At 52.6% G+C, this 7,781-nt stretch overlaps 1 annotated feature.

The window, feature by feature from the left end:
* Positions 3,215 to 4,101: an enhancer, noted in NCBI's record as "OCT4-NANOG-H3K4me1 hESC enhancer chr11:116580386-116581272 (GRCh37/hg19 assembly coordinates)". NCBI's record gives its function as "activates a minimal SCP1, AML or CMV promoter by ChIP-STARR-seq in naive and primed H9 embryonic stem cells {active_cell/tissue: H9 hESC(naive and primed)}" and the evidence as "EXISTENCE:reporter gene assay evidence [ECO:0000049][PMID:30033119]".

The raw sequence follows: 7,781 nt of genomic DNA on the forward strand, positions 1-7,781 counted from the left end.
CTTTTTTTTTAAACTAGATTCTTTGATCCCATAGAACTACCCAACTCTTCTTGTCCCTACCATGACTTGTGGGTATCTGACCCTACTGTTCATGGAATTTTAGATTTTCCTGCTTGAAAGGGAAGGGACGGCCAGGCGCAGTGGCTCATGACTATAATCCCAGCACTTTGGGAGGCCGAGGCAGGTAGTTCACCTAAGGTCAGGAGTTCCAGACCAGCCTGGCCAACATAGTGAAACCCCATCTCTACTAATAATACAAAAAATTAGTCAGGCATGGTGGCAGGCACCCGAAATCCCAGCTACTTGGGAGGCTGAGGCAGGGGAATCGCTTGAACCCGGGAGGCGGAGGTTGCAGTGAGCCGAGATTGCGCCACTGCACTCCAGCCTGGGCAACAAAAGCGAAACTCCGTCTCAAAAAAAAAAAGAAGAAAGAAAAGAAAAGAAAAGAAAAAAAGAAAGGGAAGGGACTTTCTCTGTCTAAATGTCACTCCTGGGTCAGGCTGCTGTGTCCTCTTTTCCCAACGCTGGTGATTAGAAACTTCTTGCTTCTCTGCCATGGTGGTGGGCATGGTGATGTGGGGTACAGCTGGGAGCCTCAGGTCCACACGGGAGATTTAAGATTGCACCCTCTCAGGAACAAAGCCAGAGCCCCCGTCCAAACCCCTACACCTAGCTCAGGCCCTGACCCGTAGAAGGTTCTCCATAAATGTCTGCTGAACTGCCCTGCGTTGCTGGGTCACGCGAGGAAAATGGAATTAAGAGTCCGCTGACCCGGAGGGCTGGTTCCGGCGCACTATTGACTGGCTCCAGGGCCTTGAGCCGGGGATTTAACCTCTCGGCTTCTCGATTTCCTCGCTGGCAAAATGAATCTGATACCGCCCTGACCGCCCTTGCTTAGCAGGGGTGAGTCTCACTAGAGGCTGAAGGCGTGAGAAAGGCACAGAGCGCTGTCCAGGCAGGGAGCCACTCGGGCTGCCACCTCCCGCGCCCGCTGGAGACCGTAAGCCAGGAGAGCTGGCTCAGCCGTCAGCAATTACCTGCGCCCCGAACACAACACCTGCGCTCCACTTCCGCACAGGCAGATGGTGCAATCTGGCCGCGCCGCACCCTCCCGCACCCCACCCGCGGCGGCCTTGCCGTGACAGCGCTCGCGCCAGGTGTCGGTGTGCAGGCTGGTCCGGGACGCTGCGACTGCAGCCGGCAGGAACCCGCGCGAGGGGAAAGGGGCGCTGGGACCAGGCCATGGGATGCCCAAGGCACCCCTCTCAAGTCCAAGGGAATAAGGCCAGCTTCTCCTGGATTCTTAAAACCCCTCTGAAAGGAGAGCAGGGAGCAGGTATCAGCTCCCTGCGTTCCACGTGGAGAGACTGGGGCTCAGAGAGACGAGGTGGCCTGAGGATGGACACACACATATTAAGTGATGGGGGCGGAGGGAAGCCCAAGTCTCTAACTCCGGGTCCACCATTCCTCCCCGGGCTGGCACTGCTCTGACTGCACAGACCAGCTGACTCGTCTTGGGCAAGGGTGGAATTCTTCCTTTTGCCCAGGGCTGGCTTTGCCTCCTTCCACCCCGTGGCCTTGCCACTCCTGTGCCACCCAGCCTCCTCCCAAACACCACGCCCATCTCACATACCCTAAGGTTAGTGGGGATCTGAGCCAAGCATAAACCTGTAGGATTAAATCATGACATACACACAAAGAACACTTTTTTTTCCTTTTTTTTTTTTTTTTTTGAGACGGAGTCTCGCTCTGTCGCCCAGGCTGGAGTGCAGTGGCGCGATCTCGGCTCACTGCAGGCTACGCCTCCCGGATTCACGCCATTCTCCTGCCTCAGCCTCCCGAGTAGCTGGGACTGCAGGCGCCTGCCACCACGCCCGGCTAATTTTTTGTATTTTTAGTAGAGACGGCGTTTCACTGTGTTAGCCAGGATGGTCCCCATCTCCTGACCTAGTGATCTGCCCCCCTCGGCCTCCCAAAGTGCTGGGATTACAGGCATGAGCCATCGCGCCCGGCAAAAGAACACCTTTTTTTAAAAGTAGATTCTTCAGTTCCATTGAACTACCCAACTCTTCTTGTTCCCCAAGAATCGTGGGGAGCTGACCCTACTGCTCATGGAATTTTAGGTTCTCCTGCTTGAAAGGGAAGGGACTTCTGCTGTCTAAATGTCACCCGAGTCAAGCTGCTATGTCCTCTTTGCAGCCTGTAATCACCTATGCTGGCAATTAGAAACTCCTTGCTTCTCTTTCACTGAAATCCATCAGTCTCCTGAAGGACCCAGTCGTCCCTATTGGAGCCACACAACAAATCCACTCTGCCTTTTTCTGCACCATCCAGCCTGTGTTCGGAGGCAGCTCTGTCTCTTCCCAACCAAGGGCCTTCCTTCACCCGTTCCTCAGAAGCCATGCTTGCGAGTTCCTTTCTCTGTCTGCTCATGTCCTTCAGAGCTCAGCACAAACCTGGGTTTTGACCATGTGTCAGGCAGTGTGCTCAGTGCACGGCCTCCTGACAACCACCTCCAGAGACGAACACTACCGTTAGCCCCATTTTACAGATGAGGAGGCTGAGAAGTGGAAGAACTTAGTAGGAGTTACACAGCAAGCAGCAGAGCCGATGCTGCTTCTCCCCGCTGTGCCTTGTGACCCCCAAGGAGAGCTGTTCTCTCACCCAGCAGTTCCATTGAAGGACAAGGCCACTGTGCTTGGAGTCAAAACATCTGGCTTTGCACTCCACTGTGCCATTTATTTCTATTTATTTTATTATTATTTATTTATTTATTGAGACAGCGTCTCACTCTGTCACCCAGGCTGGCATCCAGTGGAACAATCTCAGCTCACTGCCACCTCCATCTCTTGGATTCGAGTGATTTGCCTGCCTCAGCTTCCTGAGTAGCTGAGATTACAGGTGCCCACCACCAAGCTGGGCTAATTTTTGTATTTTAGAAGAGATGGGGTTTCACCATGTTGGTCGGGCTAGTCTCGAACTCCTGACCTCAAATGATCTGCCTACCTCGGCCTCCCAAAGTGCTGGGATTATAGGCACCTGGCCCCCACTGTGCCATTTATTATTATAGGCACGCCTGGCCCCCACTGTAGCATTTATTATTGTGTGACCCAGGCAAGCCACATGTCTCAGTCTCCTGGTCTGTGAAATGGGGATTATTATAGTATCACCTTCCAGGCTGTTTTGGAGGCTAGGACGCATGTCTGCGTGACCTCAGGACTGGTACTCCACATTAGCTCCCACTTCCCCTCCCAACTGGCTCACAGGAGCTAGAGCAAATGAGGAGATTCATGCTGCACCCTATGGGGCTCGAGCACCTCCCAGGTTAGGGAGCCAGGTTCAAGCTTCCAGGTCCCCCACCTGGCGTGGAGTCACTCTCTAAAATGATTTGTCAAGTGACAAGCAAAAATATATTACCAATTTAAGAGTGTGATTTGCCTGCAACTTTTTAATCCTCGGGCTGTTGTTGAATAGATTAAAGTGTCTGCTTTGATCCATGCATTTAGATGGAAACATAAATATAGCCATCACTTATTCTCCCGGCCGCCAGGATGGGTGTCCTGCTGCATCACTCCGCTTCCCACCCAGCCAGGCTAATGCATGAGAATGTCCTTTTTGTCATTCACATCCCTCTTGCATTTCACCACTGACTCTTCTGCTCCGGCCAGCACCCCTCAGCCCTGCCTAATTTGACCACGGCTCACGCTGGGAGATCATCACCACGGAAAGGGTGGGGGCAGTCCCGCAGGGCTTCCCAGCTGCCCGATGCTGCAAACTTCCCCCAGCTTGGCAGAGCCCTGCAAGAATAAATCTCTGGAGAAATAGATTTTGAAGAGGAATTTGGTACATAGATCTTCTGTCAGCGGAGCAGACTCCGGCTCAGCTGTTTTTCAAGTTCGCTGCTTATCCAGAGATACATCTATTTTTACATGGATCTCTGGCGAGATTTCCTCTTCCCTCACAGGGTAGGAGGCCTTTGAGGGAGCCCAAGGGCTGGCAGCGGTGGTAGCCATGGGGACACGGGGCAGGGGGAGCCAGGGAGGGGCTGGTGCAGTCCTGGGCTTCCTCCACCTGCAGCATCCTCCCTCGGCCCTTCTGCTGAGCAATGGGACCGGCCTCCCTGAGCCTCTATCACTGCACTGGCCCCTCTGCGCCCCCTCCACCCACCCAAAGGCCCCAGCCATCTCCGTGACCCCCAAGCCTGAAGTCCCCTGAGGAGGCCAAGGGCTGGGCTGAGCTGTGGACAAGTGTTGGGCGTGGACACATACAAATGTGCACACTGGAGGGTCCCCACCATGTGCCCACAAAGACTGGCAGGGCCTGCCCACTGCCCCAGGTTCATCCTGGACCTACCTGTGGAGCTGCTGCAAACAGTAGGAGCCAGCTCTGAGCTGTGCCAGAGGAGAAATGGCTGGCAGGGGTGCCAAGCAGGGTGCTCTGGCAGGCAATTAGGCCCCAGACAATGGCCCGCAAATGTCAGAAGTGGCGGGAAGGCTGGAATTCACTGAGGCCTTGGGCATATGGAGGAGCACATGGAAGGGCACAGGGATGACCATGTGCCGATGGAGCCAAAAGCCATGGAGCTGATGCTTTCCTGCTCCCCATAGAGCCCTCTGGCAGGCTGGACACCCTTATGCTTCCTCTTCCCAAGTCCCCTCGAAAAAATCCCCTCACTCCAGGAAGCTCTGTGCTGTGAGGCCCAGCCCCCCAAGATAATCAGGGAAGAGAAGATAGTCCCAGGATAGGAATGACCGCACAGTGACTACATCTGCTGCCCGGCCTGGCTCTGTCCCTGCCCAGCTCTATCCCTGCCCCTTCCCCACAGGCCGGCCTCCACCTCCAGAGGGTTCTGTTTCCAAGATGCCCAGAGGTCCAGACCCAGCCAGTCCTGCCCAAGTACCCAAGCCCTGGGGGCAGACTTCCAGCCAGGAAGTAGCATTGGGCCAGGGTACAAACCTCCACCTCGTAGCCAGACCAGCAGGTCCTCCATGGGCTCAGCACTACCCAGCAATGATCATGGATCCACCCTTGGTCTCTTCCCCCTGAAGCTTCCAGTTCCATTCTCAGCCTCATCAGCCCATTCCCCTGTGAGAGCCTCGTCCCTGAAATTGTATCGCCTCTCTCTTCTTCCAGCTGTGCCAGTCTCTTCCTCTACCCTGCTTTCCAATGCCCCACGCCCGCCCCTTCTCTCCCTACATGCTGACACACAGTTCCTGTGGGCCCTGTTGAGCCTTTTATGTGTTCTTAGTCCTTCTCTCCCTCCTTCCTTGGCCCCTGCACTCAGAAATGCACATTCCCATCACTACCAACCATCCCATCACCAGCTCATGGCCTTTGTACACCCTCCTGCCGGGCCTCTGCTCTTCAGCTCTCCCTGGCCTCACAGATGGGACCTCGCCTGGCTCCTCTCCTTCCTGGGCCTGCTCTCTCTCTCTTTACTCTTCTTCCTCTTTCTACCTTTTCTTTGGTCATCCCCTATGGCTCTTGCCCAATTTTCTTTCTACCCTCTCTCCCCAAGCCCCAAAACATTGCTGCCATGTGAATGTCTCACACATTTGTATCACCAGGTGTGACATTTCTGGTGTCCTCAACTGCTCCTAAGATAGTTCCAGGTTGGCAGGAACTCTCCTGTTATCCCTAAGTCATCCTGTCTGCAACAAATGCATCATCTACCCTCAATAACCAGCTCCTTGGCTGGGCGCAGTGGCTCACGCCTATAATGCTAACACTTTGGGAGGCCGAGGCAGGCAGATCACTTGAGGTCAGGAGTTCGAAACCAGCCTGGCCAATGTAGTGAAACCTCATCTCCACTAAAAATATAAAATAATTAGCTGGACATGGTGGCGGGCACCTGTAATCCCAGCTACTTGGGAGTTTGAGACAGGAGAATTGTTTGAACCCAGGAGGTGGAGGTTGCAGTGAGCCGAGATCGTGCCACTGCACTCCAGCCTGGGCGACAGAGCGAGACTCCATCTCAAAAAATAATAAAAATAAATAAATAAATAAATAACCAGCTCCTCCTCCTAGAGTGACAAGTGAGGTTTTTTCTCTTGTTTCCTCACCGGATCCTAGGTTTACTCCTCCTTTCCCCTAACTCTCCTGCCCCTCACCAACGCACCCATGTAACCAATCATCATCCTCTAGTTGTCTTTGAAATGACTCAGCACCTGCCCAAGCCATTCCATTCTCATTACACCCCAGGTTCTAGCCCTTATTTCCATTCATCAGGACTATGGCAGGTGCTGCCTAATCTGCCCTGCCTCATACAGTAGGCAATACTGCCTCTCCCGCAAAAGTCCATGCCCTAATCCTGGAACCTATGAATACGTTACATGACATAGCAAAGAGGGTTTTGCAGATGTAATTAAGGTTACCAACCTTAAAATACAGAGCTTAGCCTGGATTATCCAGGTGGGAACACCTAATCACATGAGCCCTTAAAGGCAAAGAATTTTCTCCAGCTGAAATCAGAGATGAAGCAAAAGACAAAGTGCCAAAGGAAATGTGGCAGAGGCCGGGCACAGTAGCTCACACCTGTAATCCCAGCACTTCAGGAGGCCGAGGTGGGTGGATCACCTGAGGTCAGAAGTTCGAGACCAGCCTGACCAACATGGAGAAACCCCATCTCTACTAAAAATACAAAAATTAGCTGGGTATGGTGGCGCATGCCTGTAATCACAGCTACTCAGGAGGCTGAGGCAGGAGAATCACTTGAACTCTGGAGGCGGAGGTTGCGATGAGCTGAGATCGCGCCATTGCACTCTGGCCTGGGCAACAAGACTAAAACGCCATCTCAAAAAAAAAAAAAGGAAAGAAAGAAATGTGGCAGAAGGGAAAGCCAGAGAGCTTGCAAGCATGAGAAGAATTTGATGCACTGATGCTGGCTCTGAGATGTAGGGGCCCATGTGCAAGAAGTAGAAGAGGCCTCTAGGCAATAAGGGTGGCTCCAGCTTGCAGCCAGCAAGAAAATGGGATCTCAGTCCTACAACCACAAGGAATCTGAATGAATTTGGAAGCAGATTCTTCCCAAAGCCTCCTCATAAGAGCCCAGCCAGCTGACATCCTGATTTCAGTCCTGTATAATCTAGAGTGGAGAAACCAGTCAAGCCAACCTGGACTTCTGACCTGCAGAACTGTTAAGATAGTACATTTGTGTTATTCTCATCTGCTAATTTTGTGGTAATTTGTTGCAGCAGCAATAGAACACGAATTGTCTTCGTTCATTCCTGCTACTGTAACAAAAATGCTTTGGGCTAATTTTTTTTTTTTTTTACCAATTCCTCCATTACAGACTGGGTCATTTATAAACAACAGAAATGTATTGCTCACAGTCTTGGAGGCTAGGAAATTGAAGATCAAGGCACCAACAGATCTGGTGTCTGATGAAGGCCTGTTCCTCATAGATGGCACCTTCTCTGTGTCCTCACGTGGCAGAAGGGGCAAAGGGCAAACAGGATACATCAGGCCTTTTTCTAAGGGCACTAATCCCATTTATGGTGGCAGAGCCCTCCTGAGCTAATCATCTCCCAAAGGCCCCACCTCTTCATACCATCACTTTGGGAGTTAAGTTCCAGCATATGAATTTTGGGGACACCCATACTCAGACCATAACACTAATACACCTTACCATCATCCATTCCGCAAACTGCTGCTATAAGTCACCTTGCACCCCCGGACCTGTCAGAACTCCCAGCTGCATACCATGTATGCCCCAAACCCTCAGCCTGGCATTCAAGGGAGTCAGCCTCCAGATTTTCTTTTTAGCTCATCTGCCCCAGAAA

Source organism: Homo sapiens, chromosome 11, assembly GCF_000001405.40.
Source record: "Homo sapiens chromosome 11, GRCh38.p14 Primary Assembly".
NCBI classification, from domain to species: domain Eukaryota; kingdom Metazoa; phylum Chordata; class Mammalia; order Primates; family Hominidae; genus Homo; species Homo sapiens.